Source organism: Homo sapiens, chromosome 1, assembly GCF_000001405.40.
Source record: "Homo sapiens chromosome 1, GRCh38.p14 Primary Assembly".
NCBI lineage: Eukaryota > Metazoa > Chordata > Mammalia > Primates > Hominidae > Homo > Homo sapiens.
This window is the reverse complement of record NC_000001.11, coordinates 27,140,165-27,160,806: the sequence shown is the minus strand read 5'-3', so window position 1 is coordinate 27,160,806 and position 20,642 is coordinate 27,140,165. Positions and strand designations below refer to the sequence as shown.

Sequence of the window (20,642 nt, the reverse complement as noted above, 5' to 3'; positions counted from 1 at the left end):
GCGTGAGCCACCGCGCCTGGCCTTGACTGATTATTTTTAAGAAGACAAGGCTTTTAAGGCCGAAGCGGGCGGATCACGAGGTCAGGAGATCGAGACTATCCTGGCTAACACGGTGAAACCCCATCTCTACTAAAAATACAAAAAATTAGCCGGGCGTGGTGGCAGGTGCCTGTAGTCCCAGCTACTCGGGAGGCTGAGGCAGGAGAATGGCGTGAACCCGGGAGGCGGAGCTTGCAGTGAGCTGAGATTGCACCACTGAACTACAGCCAGGTCGACAGAGCGAGACTCAGTCTCAAAAAAAAAAAAAAAAAAAAAGAAGAGGAAGAAGAAGATAAGGCTTTTAACATACAATACACATCAATGTGATTTATTTACAAATATTAAATTCATAGCAGCTGGTCTGATGGTGGGACCCATCTCACGGATGTGAGGGTCTGTTTTCCAGCCTGTCAATTTTCTCTGTGACTGAAGGCAGAACTTCATGTGGTTCCCAACATCAAAAGTCTACTCTTGAGGTCCTCGGTGCATGTAAATAAATAGAATGATGGTAAATATATGTGGTACTTGCTGGGGGCAGTGGTAAATGCTTCGCATACATTGGCTAATATCTTCATGAGAGCCCCATGAGGTTGACACTATTGTTGTCCCCCCTTATGGAGGAAGAAGCTGTAGAACAGGCACTGATTTGCCCAGGGTCTCATGACTAGTGAGCGGTGGTGCCAGAGCACTGAAAGGAGACCATGTGGCTACCCATGTTCGGCAGTCCCAGCATTTAACTATCCATTATTCTACACTGCCTGCCCAGGCTGGGCCTTGGCCATCGGCTCTCCCATGTGGTTTCTCCCAAGGCCTGTTTCCTGATATTGTTCTGTTGTTATAACCTTCTCCAGGCCGTGGAGGATCTCAGGGCTGGCATTTCCTGGTTGTCCTGGGATCTACCACGTCCCAGACTGGCACCCAAAGACTCACTGAGGCCTGAGTGAGGGAGAATTAGAGAGTGGGGAGCACACCAGTGAACGTTGCCTTCAAGACTGGAAAGAACAGTAGGTCTTGGGCTTCTGGCCCCAGGGCACCTGTGGAAAGTCACTCCACCAGCCCCATCCTTTCCCTCTTTTCTTCTTTTTACACTGAACCTGTGATGTTTTAAAAGGGTGCTGGACTTAGGTGTTAGAAACCTGACTTAAGTCTTGGATCTGCTTCTTTTTTTAAATTTTAATTTAATTTTATTGGCTCACTGCAACCTCTGCCTCCCAGGTTCAAGTGATTCTCCTGCCTCAACCTCCTGAGTAGCTGGGATTACAGGTGCCTGCCACCACGCCCAGCTAATTTTTGTATTTTCAGTAGAGATGGGGTTTCACCATGTTGCCCAGGCTGGTCTTGAACCTCTGACTTCAAATGATCTGCCCGGCTCGGCCTCCTAAAGTGCTGGGATTACAGGTGTAAGCCACTGTGCCAGGCATGGATCTGCATCTTAATAGATGTGTGACCTTGGGCAAATAGCTTTATGTCTCTGGGCCTTTGTCTTTTCACCTGTAAAATGGGAATGAGAATAATAGCTACTCTTTGGCCAGATGCGGTGACTCACGCCTGTAATCCTAGCACTTTGGGAGGCCAAGGCAGGTGGATTACCTGAAGTCAGGAGTTCCTGACCAGCCTGGTCAACGTGGTGAAACCCCATCTCTACCAAAAATATAAAAATTAGCTGGGTGTGGTAGCAGCCGCTTGTAATCCCAGGTACTCGGGAGGCTGAGGCAGGAGAATCACTTGAACCTGAGAGGTGGAGATTGCAAGTGAGCCAAGATCGCCACTGCACTCCAGCCTGGGTGACAAGAGTGAAACTCTGTCTCAAAAGAAAAAAATAGAATAATAGGTACTGTTTTTTCTGAGACAGGGTCTCACTCTGTCACCCAGGCTGGAGTGCAGTGGTGTGATCTCAGCTCACTGCAAGCTCTGCCTCCTGGGTTCAAGTGATTCTCGTGCCTCAGCCTCCCAAGTAGCTGGGACTACAGGCACATGCCACCACACCCAGCTAATTTTTGCATTTTTAGTAGATACGGGGTTTCGCTGTGTTGGCCAGGCTGGTCACAAACTCTTGACCTCAGGTGATCCACCTGCCTCGACCTCCCAAAGTGCTGGGGTTACAGGCATGAGCCACCGCACCCAGCCTAGCATTTGGATCATTGATAAACCTGGGGCACTTGGTTGTGAACTCTAAAGGGCTGAACAATTGTGAGGCATTATTGTTATTATTCTGATCCTTGCTCGAAATGCTCTTTGGTTACTTTCATTATAGCTGATGTTCTCCTTTCATCTGCTCCCAGATGACACAAGTCCCCTGCCCTTCTCTGAAGTCTCTTTTGTCATTTCCCAGGTGGCTGGAATTTGTGCCTGGAGAATGTGAGGTACAGAGAACTCAGTTTAGGCATGGGATTATAAAAAAAGAGAGAGAGAGAGAGAACTCAGTTTAATGTTGCCACCTTCAGTTACTATCATATCACTTTATTAATTATTTTATTTTTATATTCATTTATTTATTTTGAGACAGAGTCTCCCTCTGTCACCCAGGGTGGAGTGCAGTGGCACAATCTCAGCTCACTGCAACCTCCGTCTCCTGGGTTCAGGGGATTCTCCCACCTCAGCCTCCCAAGTAGCTGGGACTATAGGTATGCTCCACCACGCCCAGCTAATTTTTGTATTTTTTGGTAGAGACAGGGTTTTGCCATGTTAGCCAGGCTGGTCTTGAACTCCTGACCTCAAGTGATCTGCCTGCCTCAGCCTCCCACAGTGCTGGAATTACAGGCGTGAACCACTGTGCCTGGCCTAATTAATTTTTAGAGATGGGTCTCACTATGTTTCCCAGGCTGGAGTGCAGTGGCTATTTCACAAGCACAATCATAGTGCATTACAGCCTCAAATTCCTGGGTTCAAGTGATTCTTCTGCCTCAGCCTCCCAAGTAGCTGGGACTACAGGTGCATGCCACTGCACCTGGATATTATTATTTTATTTTACTTATTTTTTTTAAAGACAGGGTCTCCCTATGTTGCCTAGGTTGGTCTTAAACTCCTGGCCTCAACTGATACTCCCATCTCAGGCTCCTGAGTTGCGGGGATTACAGGCATGAGCCACTGCTGCTAGCTTATTATTATTTTAATATATTTTTCCATGGAAGGATAGCATACCTAGAAAAAGGTGCACACATCTTGAGTCTTCAGTGAGTTATCACGAAACAACTACGTCGCTGTAACCTTTGTAGCTATCACCCAGTAAAGAAATAGAACATTACCAGCATTCTAGAAGCCCTCATTATGTCCACTTTATGCCCCCTCCCAATTCCTACCACCTCCTTCCTCCCTCTGGCTTATCTCTGTGTTGCCAGAGCCCAGCACAAAGCCCTGTCAAGAGGCCCAGTAAACATTTGTTAAACTAAATTGAATCTCAAGTACTTGTGATGTGACCTTGAGCTAGACACTTTGACTGTTTTGGCCTTAATGTACTCTTCTGCAAAACAGGGACAGCATTTCAGTGATTTCTATACCTCCCAACCCTAGTTGTATATCAGAGCCTTTGAAAAAAATACTTTGGCACTACCCTGAAGTAATTGAATCTAAATCTCTGACGGTGGGTCCCCGAAAATGATATTTTACAAAAGATGATGATGATGATGATTACTATGATTGACAGGGTCTCCCTTTGTTGCCCAGGCTAGAGTGCTGTGGTGGATCATAGTTCACTGTAGTCTCAAACTCCTAGGTTCAAATGATACTCCTGCCTCAGCCTCCCAAGCAGCTAGGACTACCAAGCACAGCTAATTTTATCAGACAATGGTATTTATTTTTATTTATTTATTTTTTTTTGAGACAGAGTCTCGCTCTGTTGCCCAGGCTGGAGTACAGTGGTGCAATCTTGACTTACTGCAACCTCCGCCTCCTGGGTTCAAGTGATTCTCTTGCCTCAGCCTCCTGACTAGCTGGGATTACAGGCATGTGCCACCACGCCCGGCTAATTTTTTTTTTTTTTTTTTTTTTTTGAGACGGAGTCTCGTTCTGTCGCCCAGGCGGGAGTGCTGTGGCGCGATCTCCGCTCACTGCAAGCTCCGCCTTCCGGGTTCACGCCATTCTCCTGCCTCAGCCTCCCGAGTAGCTGGGACTACAGGCGCCCGCCACTGCGCCCGGCTAATTTTTTGTATTTTTAGTAGAGACCGGGTTTCACCGTGGTCTCGATCTCCTGACCTCGTGATCCGCCCGCCTCGGCCTCCCAAAGTGCTGGGATTACAGGCGTCAGCCACTACGCCCGGCCTAGACAATGGTATTTTAAAAAAGCTTTCCAGTGATTCCATTGTACAGCCATGATCCCTTGAACCTCACCAATTTCAACCAAACTATAGGTTCAAATTTAAGTTCCACTACTTAAAGCATGCCACTGTTGTGGGTTGAATTGTGTCCCGGCAAAAGAAGTTGAAGTCCTAATGCCCAGTGCCTATGAAGATGGACTAATTAGGATGCAGTCTTTGAAGATGTTCAGGTTAAGATGAGGTAATTACGTTGGATTTCTAATCCAATGACTGGTGTCCTTATAAAAAGGGGAAATCTGGCTGGGGGTTGTGGCTTACCCCTGTAATCCCAGCACTTTGGGAGGCCGAGGCGGGTGGATCACCTGAGGTCAGGAGTTCGAGACCAGCCTGACCAACATGGTGAAACCCCATCTCTACTAAAAATACAAAAATTAGCTGGACGTGGTGGTGGGTGCCAGTAATCCCAGCTACTCTGGAGGCTGAGGCAGGAGAATCGCTTGAATCCAGGAGGCAGAGGTTGCATTGAGCTGAGATGGCGCCACCGCACTCCAGCCTGGGCAACAAGAGCCAGACTCTATCTCAAAAAAAATAAAAATAAAAATAAAGTGTGGGCGGGGAATCTGGACGCAGAGACAGAGACACCAGGAGAACTCCATGGAATACCAGATAGTCCTAACAAACCACTGGAAGGTAGGAGAAAGGCATGGGACAGATTCTCCCTCATAGCTCTCAGCTGAAACCAACCCTGCCAACACCTAGATCCGACCTCCAGCCTCCAGAACTGTGAGACAATCAATTTCTGTTGTTGCAGCCACCCAGTTTGGGGTGATACTTTGTTACGGCAGCCCTAGTAAGCAATACAACTACTTGCATAGTAGCCAGGGGACTCTCTTCACCTGTTTCCTCATCTGTAAAAGTGGAATTGTAATAATGTGCCAGGGTGCATTCCAAATAGTTTACACGGATTGTCTCAGTCATTACATCATCCCTCTGACATAGTCACTATTACTGTCTCTACTTAACAGATGAGAAAGTTGTGAAACAGGTTAAGTAACTTGCTCAAGGTCACACGGTAACTAAATACATAAACTAATAATACATTCTTCACAGGATTATTCGAAAGCCCTTATGAGACTGCAGATGTGGACGTGAAATCGTTTTGTAAGTAGTCGGCATTTTACTCGCGTTAGTGAGGTTCTCTGTATATTCAGGACTTTTTTTTTTTTTTTTTTTTGTCATCTCTGACTCTCCTTCCTCTTCCTACGCGATACTTCTTTCCCTCGGCGACAGGGGCCGCTGCGCTGGGCGGGTGCCGACGGTCTCTCTAGCCCGCCGCACCGGCTGCTCGCTGGTGCCTATAAGTGACAGCGCCGGGCTCAGCTAGGCTTCAGTCTGCTGCCGCCGGGGCCGGGGCTAGGGTTAGTTCTGGAGCTGGACCAGGAGGAGCTGCAGCTGGGCCGGGGCGGAGCGCCGCGTCGCGCCAGGGCCGCGAGGAGGGGCGTGTTGCTGCTGGCCCACCGCGAGCCGCCCCCAGCCCGCGCCGAGGCGCCTTCCCGCCAGGCCGCCTGCCTTCCGCCTCTTTCCATTTCCCCGGAATCTCAGCCCGGCGCGCCTGGACCCCTGCCCCTCTCTGGGTGGAGAAGCTCCCGGCCGCTTCCCGGTTTCACTCCTTCTCAGCCTGGGCTCCCAGCCCCCTCTCTCCTTTTCCTGGACTGGCTCTCACCCCCTTCGGTCCCCTTCCTTTAGCTCAGGCTCCCTACCCCTTCCTTTAGCCCACAGCCCAGAGTCCCAGCTCCTCAGTCACTTTCCTCAGCCAAAGGTCCCAGCCTTCCTTCTTCCTTTCCTTTGCACTATCCCTATCCTGCCCCTTCCTCTATCCCTAGGGCTCAGTTTCCCACATCCGTCCTCCCCCTTCCCAGGCCCGGAGTTCCAGACCTTTTGGTCTCCTTTCGTGGTCGTTCCTGGGTCCTTGCCCCCTTTCCCCACTTTGGAGTTCCAGATTGCAAACCCAGCCTCCCTCCACCCCCAGAAAATTGCTTCCATGGAAATGCCTCTCTAAAACATGAACTTTTCCTAGAGACTACGCCAGTCTCTCTTCCCACTTGCTGACCCTTTGCTACCTATGTGCCCGGTTTTACTCTCATTTGGGTAAGGTCGAGGCTGGCTCTGGAAGCAGCACCATGGTTCTGCGGTCTGGCATCTGTGGCCTCTCTCCACATCGGATCTTCCCTTCCTTACTCGTGGTGGTTGCTTTGGTGGGGCTGCTGCCTGTTCTCAGGAGCCATGGCCTCCAGCTCAGCCCAACTGCCAGCACCATTCGAAGCTCAGAGCCACCACGAGAACGCTCGATTGGGGATGTCACCACCGCTCCACCGGAGGTCACCCCAGAGAGCCGCCCTGTTAATCATTCCGTCACTGATCATGGCATGAAGCCGCGCAAGGCCTTTCCAGTCCTGGGCATCGACTACACACACGTGCGCACCCCCTTCGAGATCTCCCTCTGGATCCTTCTGGCCTGCCTCATGAAGATAGGTAAGTCCCGTTTGCTCCGATGCTGCGGCCGCCACCAGACTGGTGAGCTTCTTGCCTCATCTCGCACCATTTGAGGCTGTCCAGGAGTAAGGATCTGAACTACCCCCATAAAGTAGGCAGTCTCCATCCTGCCACCTTGGTCCTTCTCAGGCTCCAGTTCTGTGGCTTCTGATCTGTGATCTGAGGCTTCCCAAGATTGGAGCCAGCACTGTGCACAGAAGAGAGCAGGATTAGAGAATGGGATGCCTCTGATCCTAGGTCCCTTCAGTAAGGCTTCCACGACTGGCAAGTCTCCTCTGGCTGGGCCAGACCCCCAGGGGAGCCAGGCACCCCGCTGTGTGTGAGACAGAAAGGAGTGTCTTCTGGCGAGTGGCACATTCTGCTCTGTCAACAGCAACCAGTGCAATTTATGACAGGCTTCACTGGAGCGTGTTCCAGGATGGAGTATATTTCTACTTGGCCTGCTTGAGGAGTTTAAGCATAGTGGAGACCTGGGCACAGGAAACTTACAAGTGTGGTGGAACACAGGGGATCCCCATATTCCCACCTTTCCTTCATCTCCAGAATGTTATCTGTCAGCTTTGCTTGTCCAGGCTAGTTAGGAGCCCCTGAGTCAATTTCCGGCCCAGGAATGCCATACTTTATAGAATCTGTGGGACAAGGGGCCCTGGAAATTTCTGAAGTCTGTTTTGGAAGTGGAGGGAGAGTAGAGGAGGTTGAGGCTTGGTCTGACCCCAGCTCACCCCCAGGTCGCTGCCTGGCTGTGTCTCAGGGTGCTGTCTGGCCTGCTGCTCAATCAAGTAGATGAGGTAGATGGGGGAGCCTAGGGATGTTCAGGCCTGAAGAGACTTTGAAACCTTCTTTTGGGGAGAAGGAAACAGACAACTTATTTGCTCTCAGAGTATTGGTCTCCCTGCTAGGCCTGAGCACTCTGTTCTGCTGAGTGATTGGGGGAGCTTACTGGAGCCTACATTGCCCAGAAGTCCCTGAAAGTGGTGTTCAGGGGGACTTTGACAACTGCCTTTGCATTTTCAGCTTGCCCCCAGCTGGCTGTGGAAGGCATGAGGTCCTGGGACTCTGCTGTCCCCTCTGCCTGAGATTTGGGTTTGGGAATTTGGCAGGAAACCTTCCAGCTCTCCCAAGGACATGCAGGAGCTGAGCGGTGCTGCCGGGCTGGTGTGAGGCAGGCTCTGGGACATGCAGCGGGAGGGAAGTGGTGCCTCTAATTTGACAGATCCAGGAGCTGGGTTCCTGGTGCAGGGCTCTTGTGCCAAGCTGGTCACAGTAGCAGAGCCTTACATGGAACTAAGCCATCAGCACCTATACCTTGATGGCAGTTAGCTTCCTGGAGAGAAATCAAGGACTGGACAAGGGGAACCATGTGTACTGATTCTGACATAAATGCATGACCTTGAATAGCTGAGGCCTTTTTCTGCAGGTCTCCCTCACCTGTGAAATGGTTAAGACTCTCAATTTGACCACACCAATTGAGTCATGAAATGTCGTCTGATTTGCTGTAAGAAGCTGAAGTGACAGTGATGTCATTTGACTGTGTGAGACCAGGAGGAGACCTCACAAGTGCAATCTATAAATTGCCTCCTGTCCCCGATCCCCTCACCTGCCCACCACACCTGGCATTACATTAGGGCATTCAGGGCTGGCAGACACACTTTGAGTGTCAGTGGCTGCTGGTGGGATGACAGCATGACTGCAGAGACCCCACTCTAGGCAGTCAGAAGTTTGTCCCTGCAGGCCTGGTATCTCTAGTGCTAATGAGGTCAGCTTGGCCTGGCCTGCTTTGTCACCACCCAAGTGCTGTGCCCGGGACCCTGGGCAGCTGGAGAGCAGAGATGGTGTCATGGCAACAATATCAGTCTAGAAGTCAGGAAAACCTGGCTTCTCTTCCTACCTCCCTCTGTCCTTGGACCAGTCACGCCTCCCTACCCATCAGTTGATCTTTGTGGTCCCTTCCAGGTGTGATATTTCTGTCATTCCACTGACTCTGGAAACTCTGGCAAGTCACTCAGCCTTGGACCTCAGTTTTCCCATTGTAAAATGATGAGGCTGGATGTGGTCTCCTTTCCAAAAGTCTGTTTCTGCCTTGGAAAGGCATTTTTCTGCCTCTGAAAACAGGAGTTCTAGCATCTGGCCATGAGTGGAGAGAAAGGTGGTCTAAAGATCTGAAGAGTCCCTGTTCAGGCCTCAAAAATGAAAGCCCATTTTTCCCAGCTTCACCTTTGCAGTGTGGAATTCAGCCACCACTCTGCCACTTAGCAGCATCTCTGAGCCTCAGTTTCCTCATGTATAAAAGGGGAACTAAGCTGGGCGCAGTGGCTCACGCCTGTAATCCCAGCACTTTGGGAGGCTGAGGCAGGGTGGATCGCCTGAAGTCAGGAGTTTTGATACCAGCCTGGCCAACATGGTGAAACCCCGTCTCTACTAAAAATACAAAAAATTAGCTGGGCATGGTGGCGGCTGCCTGTAATCCCAGCTACTCTGGAGGCCAAGGCAGGAGGATCGCTTGAACCCAGGAGGCGGAGGTTGCAGTGAGCCAAGATTGCGCCATTGCACTCCAGCCTGGGCAACAAGAGTGAAATTCCGTCTCTAAATAAATAAATAAAAAAAAATAAAATGGGAACTAATAGTATCCAGTTATAGTGCTATTAATGTGATTATTACATAAATAAATGCACATAAAAGTTTGTATACACAGGAAGTGTTCAATGAGTGACAGCTGCCCCTGTTAATATTTTAACCACCTACAGCAAATGCATCCCTACCTCAGCCTCCTACAACCTTCCTCTGAGCTGAAGGATTACAAATCTCTCAAACCTAGGCTGCCACCAATGTCCTTCCTTAGGGTATCAGGGTTTCCATGTGTCCTATACTGTTCACTTGAGCTGGTCATGGCGGGAGGGAAGATGACACCAGCTGCCTTGTAGGGATAAGGGTGGGGGGCTGAGGCCATGCTCCCTCTGCACTCTCAGATACCCAAGAGCCTGGGAGCTGATTTTGGGGTCTTGCCTATTCTCTCAACACCCCTGCGTGGGTAGGAGTTCCGTTGGAGCCCTCATTCTGTCATCTATGGCAGCTGCTTCCCTTGCAGGTTACCCCTCCTATAAGAATAGAAAGTGCTTTGCAGTTCTCCTTCCTACCCTAACCATGGAGCAGAGCCTCGGGTAGACTCTTGCAGAGACTGGGGTGGGAGGAGCAGGGTGGGAGCTGAAGTTCTAGAATAGTTGCTTCTGGGTTCTAGTCTACCTCTGACTCAGTGGGTGACATTAGGTAAGTCACCTTCCCTCTCTGGACCTTTTTTCTCTCCCCAGCAGTCAGGAATTCTTGCTTGTCCTTGGTGGGGAGGGGCCAGTGGTGTGAAGAGGATTTAGGCTATTGGGAAAACTGTGGGAATGACTCCAAGCCTTAGGAGTTAGGTGCATTCCCCACCCCACATTGTGCTGTGGACCCCGCATGAACTCTGCTTTGTTCCATGTTCACCTGACTCCCAGGCTAGTACTTATTCCAGAGGAGAGCCTCACTGTAACTCAGCTCACCACTGGCATCTCCTGCAATTGTTTACCCATGTTCCTGACCCAGAATGCCTGGCAGAGGCCCGGGAGCCCATAAAGCAGGTATTCATCTTGTCTCCTGACCAGGGACACAAAAGGCTTCTTTTGTCCCTTTATATCTTATAGCTTTTTTTGGTTTTGGTCTTTGCAAGGCGAATCCTGCCATCTCCTCTGTAGATTAAGTCTGTGAATAGGGGAGATGGGGTCACTGCCCACTTCACATGCATGGATATCAGACCCAGCAACTGGTTTCCTATAAAAATGACACTAGAAGGTGCCTCTCTCACTTCTCAAAAGAAGAGAAGAACAAATAGCCTAAAGGTCACCTTGAAACTGTCTCAAGAAGCCCAGATAGGACTCTAAAAAGGAAGCGATGACCTTTTTCTCTTTGGGAAAATAGCAGACTGACTGCAGAACAGTGGGAGGGAGGTCAGCTGGGGACTGGGAGGAAGGCTTCAGGTAGGACATGTGTCTCTAGGAGTGCCAAGGCACTTAGAGGGCTTAGTTGGTCAGATTGCCCAGACTTCATTCAGCTGAGCACCCTCGAAGTTTGCCTTTCCTCTCCTTCCAAGCCAGCCCCATGGCGTCCAGCCCTGGTACAAAGGAAAGACGTAGTCAGAAGCCCTGGGTTCTGCTCCTGATGCTGCCTCTCAGTACCTGTGTGACCATGAACCTTGAGGTTCATGCACCTCATTCTCTGAACCTGACTTGCCTCATCCTTAAGACCAACGTAGAGGCTGAACGTGGGAATGCCTGGTAGAGTGCCCAGCTCACTGTAGTAACTTTCAGGGCCGTGCAGATTCTTCCCCTTTTGGGAGGTCTTCCCAGCCCACAGCAGTCACTTTCTCTTTCTCTCCCAAACCCTTTTCCCTTATTGTTTATCCATAACAGTGGCATTAGGCCTTGCCTGCCCTGTGACATCTCCTGTGTTGAACGGGTGTGTGTGTTTTAATAATAGTTGCCACTTAGTATCTACAGAGTAGTGTCAGGCACTTTATAAAAGCAATCTTATTTAATCCCTACTCAAATCACATGAGATAAAAGCTGTCTCTGTTTTGCAGATGAGGAAATGGCTCAGAGAGGTTATCTTCAGTGATGTCAAATTGCTATTTATTGTCTGTTCGAGTCTTGGCATAGCCTGCTAGAGGGGTGCAGCTGCATCTCCTGCCTCTGGCATTCCCGCAGCAGATGCACATGGCCCTGCACTGAGAAGCGCCCAGCTCACTGCACCTGCACTCAGGAATTGTAGGACTCCCTCTAGGAGTTGGGCACATGTCGTTGGTGGGAGCCCTGTCCCTGCCTTGAGAAAGCTGTAGGTGTTCTGTGTCCAGCTGTGCACCTGTCCTTTGTTTTTGTGAGTCTTCTTGGATGCACCTGAATCCTGCATTCAGGAGGCCTATCCCTTGTTCTCTGCTAGCAACCCTGCCTGCTATCTCTCTTCCGGTGCCCTCTCAGCCATCAGACCAGAGCTTGCTTCTTCCCTGCTTGGGCAGGGAAGTGCCAGGTAAAGGGTGGTCTCCTTTAGCCACAAGGGGTGGCTGACCTTATGACCTCCCGCCTCTGAGCAGAAAGGTGACAGGCTGCTTTTGGTTACCCTCAGGGCCCAGCAGAGTCCCCTGAGAGGCAGCCTCTGTTGGGAGCAGGTGGCACAACTTTGTTTAGCTCTACAAGGCAGGAGGAGTTTAATAGTACTTCTCATTAGCACTGAAATTTGTTTCCAAAGCACTTGTGTGTACAATATTTAATTTAGATCTTCTCAGTGGTCCTGTGGGTTAGAATAGCATGTGGTATTGATGTGTTCATCATTTTACATCTAAGGAAATTGAGCCTTCGGTTGTGACCTGCCTGAGGTCACTTAGCATGCCTGGGACTAATCACTCAAGGCCAAACTCTCTCCTGCCAGGCCAACATGCTGGGTTCTTGTTGGATCAAGGGGGATGAGAGATTTAAAGGGGCTTTGAGGAGAGTCAATGACCAGACACATCCACATTGGTAACCTGGATTGTTGTCAGGAGGGACACCTGTTCCTCCTGTAGGCAGGAAGGGCTAAAGGGTCTGGGTGGTCTGGAGCCTTGACAGCTTTGGCTCAGCTCCAAGTTCTTTTCTACAACTTGAACATACCTGTATTTGCATGAAGGAGGATGAGGGCCAGAGTTGCACTGGGGACTGACATTCTCATAGCCCTTATCTGTGGAGCAGCAAATCTTTGAAATGGAGGACTTGTCCTTTCCCCCAGAATGTTGCATGCCCTCTGGGAGAGAAAAGGAGAGGCAGAGAAATGATTACAATGGAAAACATGTAGGATGGGGTGAAAGGTTAAGATACCTGAGATCTAGTCTCAGCTCTCTGTTGCCCAGCTGTGTGACTTTAGGCAAGGCATAACCTCTCTGAGCCCCTGTTTTCTTTTTTCTTTTTTTTTTTGATACAAGAGTTTCGCTCTTTTTGCCCAGGCTGGAGTGCAATAGTGCAATCTCAGCTCACTGCAACCTCTGCCTCTTGGGTTCAAGCAATTCTCCTGCCTCAGCCTCCTGAGTAGTGGGGATTACAGGCATGTGCCACCACACCTGGCTAATTTTGTATTTTTAGTAGGGATGGGGTTTTGCCGTGTTGGTCAGGCTTGTCTTGAACTCCTGACCTTAGCTGATCCTCCCACCTTGGCCTCCCAAAGTGCTGGATTACAGGCGTAAGCCACTGCTCCTGGCCTGAGCCCGTTTTCTAATTGATAATATAGATACTTAATTTTTCATTTTGTTTTGTTTTGTTTTTTTAGAGATGGGGGATGGGGATCTTCCAATTTTGTTGTCCAGGCTGGTTTTGAATCCCTGGCCTCAAATGATCCTCCCGCCTCAGTCTCCTGAGTAGCTGGGATTATAGGGATGAGCCATCACACCTGACTCCCTATTATTTTATTTTTATTTATTTTTTTGAGATGGAGTCTCACTCTGTCGCCCAGGCTGGAGTGCAGTGAGGCGATCTCGGCTCACAGCAACCTCCGCCTCCAGGTTCAAGTGATTCTCCTACTTCAACCTCCCAAGTAGCTGGGACTACAGGCATGCGCCACCACCCCCAGCTAATTTTTGTATTTTTTTCTTTTCTTTTTTTTTTTTTTTTTTTTTTGAGACAGAGTCTCGCTCTTTTGCACAGGCTGGAGTGCAGAGGCATGATCTCAGCTCACTGCAACCTCCGCCTCCCGGGTTCAAGTGATTCTTCTGCCTCAGCCTCCTGAGTAGCTGGGATTACAGGCACCAACCATCATGCCTGGCTAATTTTTTGGTTTTTTTGTTTGTTTGTTTGTTTGTTTGTTTTTAGTAGAGACAGGGTTTCACCATATTGGCCAGGCTGGTCTCGAACTCCTGACCTCAGGTGATCTGCCCGCCTCAGCCTCCCAAAGTCCTGATATTACAGGCATGAGCCACCGCGCCCGGCCTAATTTTTGTATTTTTAGTAGAGATGGGTTTTCGCCATGTTGGCCAGGCTGGTCTTGAACTCCTGACCTCAGGCGATCTGCCCGTCCCGGCCCCCCAAAGTGCTGGGATTACAGACATGAGCCACTGCACCCGTCCGGTAATTGGTGATATATTTGTTAAATACTTGTTAATTAGCTGCCACTTATTAATTTTTTATTTTGTTTATTTTTGAGACAGGATTTCGCTCTGTCTCCCAGGCTGGAGTGCAGTGGCGCAAAGACGGCTCACTGCAGCTTCAACCTCCCTGGCTCCAGGCAATCCCCCCACCTCAGCCTCCTGAGTAGCTGGGACCACAGGTACAGGTCACCACATCCAGCTAAGCTGCCACTTATTCATATCTAGTTTAGAGGTTGTGAAAGGTACTTGCACAGCTAGAAAACATTGGGGTTTAAGCCCAGATTTGTCTGACTTCAGAGCCTGTGTTCTTTTCATCCTCATGCCCTGATTCCAAGGGCCTTTTCAGTTTAGAAATTCAATTTTTCCCATAATCATTTTGAATTGGGGGAGATTTAAAGACTTTAGTATTTTGAGCCTTGGCTGCTTTCTGTGGATCACTTCTTGGGTTTGGGGAAAAAGCTGACCCACTCCAAGTCCCACTGTGAAGCAAATAACCTTTCTCAGAGGTGGCAGCATGCAGAAAAATACAGGAGTGACGGGGAACTAGAGCTGGGGGCCTGAGGCTGTCTCTGGGAATGCCAGCCCATACACAGCCTCCTTTCCTCCTCACCGCCTCTCCCACCTGCCCCCTTTCCTCCTGAGGCAGGGAGAGAAGGCTCGCTCAGCACACCCAGGACCTGGGTTATTCCTGAGTCATCCATCGCCTGTGTGGGCCTCATTTTGCAGCACTCGCTCCCCCTGCAAATGTCTGAGTCAGGCATGTCTCCCCAAGGTTGTCTGCACACACTGCACTGGGCCAAACTGTCTCTTTAGATGCCGATAAACATCAACTGATACTTTAAAGCAGCCCGTGATTATATGTTGGTATTTTAATCTTATGGGCTAATCTAATTTTAACTGAACTAAGTTTTGGGTTGGGCCTGGATCAGTGGGCTGCCCGCCTTCCCTGGGATCATGCTGACTTCATTTTCTTCCCCCTAAAGCTCATCTAATATACAGAGCCGATTTTGGGGTCTATTAGGCCAGACCTGAGCCCTGAGTTTTTATACTACTTGCCAAGAATCCAGAGTTCCCCCCAAATTACCCCAGCAAATTCTTTCCTGAAAAGATATGTCCTTAAGCAGTTCTAACTGAGATTCAGGATGAAAAGCTCTGTTCCTTCCCAGGCCCCCTTCCCTGTCCCTTGGGAAGCACTTACCCCTAAGCCCAGACTGGCCTTGCCACAGTGCTGAGCCTGTTTGAGACCAGGCCACAGAAGGCGGAGGAGTGATATCACAGCTGTGTGTTAGAGCCCACAAGTTCACTAAACCAATAAATAGCTAACACTTGCATAGCATTTGCTGTATGCCAAGTGAAGCTGGAAGAGGCTGTGTCTTTGCATCAGCCAGCCAGGACCAAGAGCAGCTCGCTAAGATCCTGGGTGGAAGAGGCAGGTCAGCTGAAATCAGCTAGCAGGCATTTAGCATATGGCCATCAAGGAACAAAAGAAGAGTAAACCCAGGCCCTGCTCTTTAGGAGCTTCCAGCCTGCCAGGGCTGGGCGGACTCCTGGCAGAGGCAAAGTACAGAGGGAGCAAGCAGTCCCTGAGGACTGGGGTGTTTAGAGAAAGCCTCTCAAAGGAGGTGGAACATTAGTCTGAGTCTTGAAGGATGGAAAGGAATTAGATAAGCAGGCTATACTTAGTACCAATTTCCATAAGAATGTAAGCCTCTTGAGGACAGGGACTTTGTTTGTTCACTTTCTTTTTTTTTTTTTTTTTCCTTTTTCCTTTTTTTTTGAGATGGAGTCTTGCTCTTCGCCTGGGTTGGAGTGCCAGAGTGCAGTGGCGAGATCTCAGCTCACTGCAACTTCTGCCTCCCAGGTTCAAGCAATTCTGCCTCAGCCTCCAGAGTAGCTGCAGGTTCAAGCAATTCTCCTGCCTCAGCCTCCAGAGTAGCTGGGATTACAGGCTTACATCACCACGCCCAGCTAATTTTTTGTGTTTTTAGTAGAGACGGGGTTTTGCTATGCTGGCCAGTCTGGTCTAGAACTCCTGACCTCAGGTGATCCACCCACCTTGGCCTCCCAAAGTGCGGAGATTAAAGGCGTGAGCCACCACGCCTGGCCTGTTCACTTTCTTATCTGTGCCTGGCACAGAGTAAAGGCTCCATAAATATTTGGGGAAGGAATACATGAATGAATATGTGATTGACTTCAGTGTAAAGATAGGATCCCTGCAAAGCCCTGGGGCAGACAAGAAACCAGTTTGACTGCTCAGAGAGGAGGGAGAGCAAAGGTTGCAGAGGCTCCTTGGCACCAGACTGCCAAGCCAAGGAGTTTAACTGAGCTCGCTGGGAGCGACACTCACAGAATGATGCCTTAGGCGCCAGCCAGTGTTTAAGTGGTGCTGCCTTGGCCACCTCCCTCGGCTTGGCTCTAATGGAGGGTCTGCAAGGGCATCTTCTCTGGGCCGGGTGGGGTCTCTCTGGGAAGATCTGGATCTGTTTGGTCTGCCCTCAATTTGTGTAAGTAAAAGTAAGATACCAGAGCTTCCTTGGGGAGCTGCCGAGAGCCCTAATTGAATTAAGCTTTTCCTGGGAAGATTCCTCAAGCCGTAAACTGCACTGTGACTGTGAATTAATGAGACCAGTGGCTTTAAACCATACAAGAAGGCAATCTTGTTAATTTATAGTTGTACCTGGACAGATTTACTTATGGCTTCTCTTTGCTTTAATGTGTGTTGGGAATGGGTGGGCTGGGCCAGAATCTCCTTTCTATGGCAGATTTATTTTTATAATATGAATAAATAAAACATGTCAATGGTAAAAACAAAACAACAAAAATAAAACCCAACAGTACAGAGGGTATTGAGGTGAAAGGGAAAAGTCCCCCTCATTACTTCTCTGACCACCCCCACTGTCATACATTCCAGAGGTTACCACTGTTAACTGTCTTGTCCATCTTTTTTAGAAATTCTCCATGTATATATTGAGTATGTGAGTGTGTGTGCATGCAAGGCAAATTTAGTTTTCATAAAGCCATTGCATAAAGGAAACGAGCTCTAGGCTGGTAACTGGGGACCTGGGTCTTAGTCCTAGCTCGCCTCTTTCCTGCATATTGACCTTTGCTAAGCTATGTTTGCCTTCCTGGGCCTTAGTTTCCCTATCTGTCGATTTCATCTTGAAGGGCTCTCTGGGGCTGTCCTGTGGGAAAGGCGGTCATTCCAGGGAAGCCTCTGTTCCGTTGAGGCCTAAGCAGACTGTGAGGCCCTCAGATGGGGAATTCCACAGCTCTATCCTTTGGGAGTGGGCCAGTGCTGTCATTGAGCCCTGGCTTCAAAGCACAGGGCTTTGTACAAGTACAGATCACGGTCATCTCTAAGTCCAGCTGAGGGTTACAAGGTTGAAGAAATGAGCCCACAGGGAGTCAGCTTTCTTGCTGGGGAAGTGAGACAACATACAAGGGAGAAAGCACAGGTGGGAAATTGTGTGGTTCAGGCTGGATGCTTGGGGGAATCAGAGGAGAGGAGAGATGAGGGAAGCTTCTTGAAGGAGGCGGCCTTGAGAGGTGGGCCAGGGGTAGAAGAGGAACATCATTCAGGAGGGGTTGCTAAGGGATTCTGGTGTAGGTGAGAGGATGGACTGGATGATCTGTTGTTCTAGGATCTAGGTTTCTAAGATTGTTTCTGAGTCCATGATAAAGTTTGTGGAGCTCCCAAAATAGTCTGCAGACAGTTGTATATATGTGATTTTATCAAGGGAGAAGGCCCATGATAGACTCAGATTTTTTTTTTTTTTTTTTTTTTTTACACAGTTGATTGTCAGTGTGTAAGCCACAGATTCTGAAGGTTAAGAGCTTCTGCCTTTTGTGTGGTGGGAACTTGAAGAAGGGTAGAGGACTAACTGGTCTGGGATGAATCCTTGGAGGAGGTGGTACTTAATTCTGGGATGAGTGGGGTTTGCCTGTGGGACTGCAGAATACCTTCCAGGCAAGGAGAAGGACCCCAGAGTGAGTAAGCTGTGTCCTGAGAGAAGGGAAGGGGAAATGAGTCCTTAAAGTAGAGAAAAACTTTTCTAAGTTGGAAATCAAAGCAGATGCAACATGCTCCGCCTACACTGTGCAGCAGGGAAGGTACTGGCTTCTTTATGCCCTCTGGGTCTGCTGGGTTGCCATGGTGAGCCCAGCTCACACACAGTAGGTGACTCAGGCCACCTGCCCATTTCCCTAAAGCGGCTAGGGCCCAGGCACACCTCTGAGGCTCTGCTAGTGGGGAAGCAACCACCTTTGAGGCAGCAGACGCAAGAGAAAGCCTCTGAAGGTGGACAGGCTTTGAGGATGCAGCTAGGAAGCCCTGACTGGCCTCTGCTGTTTCCTGGACTGAAGGTCCCTGTTCTCTGTTCTCACTCTGCTTCTAGGAATGAAAGTATAGAATATTCTAATTCTAGAATGTTAGAGATGGAAAAATCCTTATCATAGCTTGTAACCCCCAGGCCCAAAGGGAAATGGAGATGTTTTGATCAAGTTCTCTGTTTTTCCAGTTGAGGCCCAGAGAGGATTGGCCCCAGGCCACTCGTGAATTAATGGCAGAGTCAGTCTTCTTCCCTGCTCTGTTAACTAACTCAGGAGTCCCTAGGCAGTAAGACCTGGACAGTGGACCGAGAGGAGGGGCTGTGGTTTTTGGCTTGGATATTGGTAGCATTGGCAAACCTCAGTTCTTCCAGTGGGCCCTTTAAGCCTAAAGAAGGGCAGCTTCCTCCTGGGGTATCTATTAGGGAGCTGTCCTTGGCAGAGAAACCATTGGTCCTTACACTGGTCCTTACAGGGGAGCCAAGTACAGGTCTTGGGACCTCTGAGACAGCCCAGAGGCTTCTGCCTTCACCCATTGAATCCCTCAGGTCGTGTAGTCCATCACAAGCCAATGTTGAACTTGGGTGCTGTGCTTTTTATAGCATCTTTGCCATCAAGCCAGGGAATAAGATCTTATCTCCCCGGTGGCCAGGACCCACAGGAATCTGGATGCTGTACCAGGTAGGCGTTATGCCAGCATGAGGCGGGGCCAACTCACCTAACTGGGCAAAGCCTAAGACTCAGGTTACAGCAAGATGGGGGAGGGGAGCAGGCACCCTACCCCACCCGCTTCCCTGACTGAGCACTGCCTGCCTGGCTGGTGGAAGGTGCAGAGATGCATGAGAACTGCTTCTTTTACCAAGCTCAACGACTTGTTTGAGAAATGCGGTACAGATGCAAAACAGTCAGACAGTAGAAAGGGGGTGTGATTTGAAGTGCAGATGGAATTCTACGGGAGTTTAGAGGTGGGAGAGAGAATTTCGTACCTGGGAAGATCCCAGTAGGCTGTGCAAGTGACCACTGAGCTAGGCCTTGAAGTATATGTAGGATTTAGATGAGATACTTGAATGAAATCTCACTGGGCACAGCCAGAAGCTTCTACTTGGGGCAGAACCTCTGGATTGCAGAAGAATGTCCCAGAGCAGTTCCCTTTGGAAACATGCCCACAGGCATGGTGGTTAGAAAAACAAGCTTTGCAGCTTGACAGACCTGGGTTCAAATCTCAGCTCTACTACTTTGTAGCACCGTGACCTTGGGCAAGTCACTTATCCTGTTTTAAAAAAATTTTTTTTAATTTTTTATTTTGAGATGGAGATTCTCTCTGTCACCCAAACTGGAGTACAGTGGCACAATCTTGGCTCACTGCAACCTCTGCCTCCCTGCTTCAAGCGATTCTCCTGCCTCCCGAGTAGCTGGGATTACAGGCTTGTGCCACCACGCCTGGCTAATTTTTGTATTTTTAGTAGAGATGGGGTTTTGTCATGTTGGCCAGGCTGGTTTTGAACCCCTGACCTCAAGTGATCCCCCCAGCTTGTCCTCCCAAATTGCTGGGATTACAGGCGTGAGCTGCCGTGCCTGGGCTGTGGAGGTGACCCGCCTGGTGTCATATAGCCTGACTGTGGCAGAGCTGAAGCTGGACTCCAGGACTTCCCCTTCCAAGTCCTGTGCCATTTCTCCTACATAACATTTATGTTATGTTACCCCACCTAGCTGGAGTAGCAAGACTGATCGTCTGAAACATTTAATGAGCAAAGGGTGATTTTGTATGACAACTTGATGTGTAGCTATAAAAGCACTCAATTTTGCAGAACAGATGATGGTTTTAAAAATAGTCCCAGCTATGATAAGTGCTAGGTGAGTGATGCCAGTATTAAGGGGAAAAGGTGTGCCCTTTTTAAGCTACATCACCCTGTCTGAGCCTCAGTTTCCCCAGTCTAAAGGGGGGTGATGTCTGTAAAGCCCTGAGCACATTGTAAGTGCTCACTAATGGGAGTTGCTACTATTCCTGGAGCCTTAAAGGAAGAGGTGAGGGTGGGGTCAAGCACTGGAGGATGGTTTTAGGTATATGGACTGGAGGGCATTGGGGTGAGCTGAGTACTGAGGTTAGGGGTGCAAATGAGACCATTAGCTGAATTGTCTGAGCTCGTTCTTTAGTTGGGAGGTGGGGAGACACATGTTCAGCAAATGGATTCGTGCTGATAAATACTGTACTGAAGATGGAAAGATGGATAAATATAATCCCAGCCTCAAGGGAGAGGCTGGCATGTAAACAGGCACTTGTGATGTGCTGTGAAGTGCTGCAGCAGGAGCCTGCAGAGCTGTGGGTGTGCGGGAGGGAGGAG

General features: G+C 49.4%; 1 protein-coding gene and 1 long non-coding RNA gene across 5 annotated transcripts in view, besides 4 other annotated features; one reads left to right on the top strand and one right to left on the bottom strand.

Annotated features, from left to right (window-relative positions):
• Window positions 1–338: 338 nt before the first annotated feature.
• LOC102723760 (uncharacterized) lies at window positions 339–3,246 on the bottom strand. The gene is made up of 3 exons (XR_426674.4): window positions 3,181–3,246; window positions 2,283–2,388; window positions 339–518 (listed from the first exon to the last, which is right to left on the bottom strand). It is a non-coding gene; the product is annotated as an uncharacterized LOC102723760 (long non-coding RNA).
• Window positions 4,288–4,787: an enhancer, noted in NCBI's record as "H3K27ac hESC enhancer chr1:27482511-27483010 (GRCh37/hg19 assembly coordinates)". NCBI's record gives its function as "activates a minimal SCP1, AML or CMV promoter by ChIP-STARR-seq in naive H9 embryonic stem cells {active_cell/tissue: H9 hESC(naive)}" and the evidence as "EXISTENCE:reporter gene assay evidence [ECO:0000049][PMID:30033119]".
• The window catches only part of SLC9A1 (solute carrier family 9 member A1), a 56,317-nt gene continuing 41,356 nt past the window's right edge, over window positions 5,682–20,642 (top strand). For 3 of the 4 annotated variants that reach the window (NR_046474.2, NM_003047.5, XM_011542021.4), the window contains exon 1: window positions 5,682–6,824. Coding sequence is in view for 1 of the 4 variants with exons in the window: in NM_003047.5 (NP_003038.2) it covers window positions 6,473–6,824 (352 nt within the window). In the remaining 3 variants the exon portion in view is untranslated. Of the gene's footprint in view, window positions 6,825–17,761; window positions 18,982–20,642 lie in introns of those variants that run through there. The other variant, XM_047428769.1, reaches the window with a different exon arrangement.
• Window positions 5,733–5,962: a silencer, noted in NCBI's record as "silent region_502". NCBI's record gives its function as "represses an Ori minimal core promoter by ATAC-STARR-seq in GM12878 lymphoblastoid cells {active_cell/tissue: GM12878}" and the evidence as "EXISTENCE:reporter gene assay evidence [ECO:0000049][PMID:35858748]".
• Window positions 8,394–8,443: an enhancer, noted in NCBI's record as "active region_539". NCBI's record gives its function as "activates an Ori minimal core promoter by ATAC-STARR-seq in GM12878 lymphoblastoid cells {active_cell/tissue: GM12878}" and the evidence as "EXISTENCE:reporter gene assay evidence [ECO:0000049][PMID:35858748]".
• Window positions 18,055–18,114: a silencer, noted in NCBI's record as "silent region_501". NCBI's record gives its function as "represses an Ori minimal core promoter by ATAC-STARR-seq in GM12878 lymphoblastoid cells {active_cell/tissue: GM12878}" and the evidence as "EXISTENCE:reporter gene assay evidence [ECO:0000049][PMID:35858748]".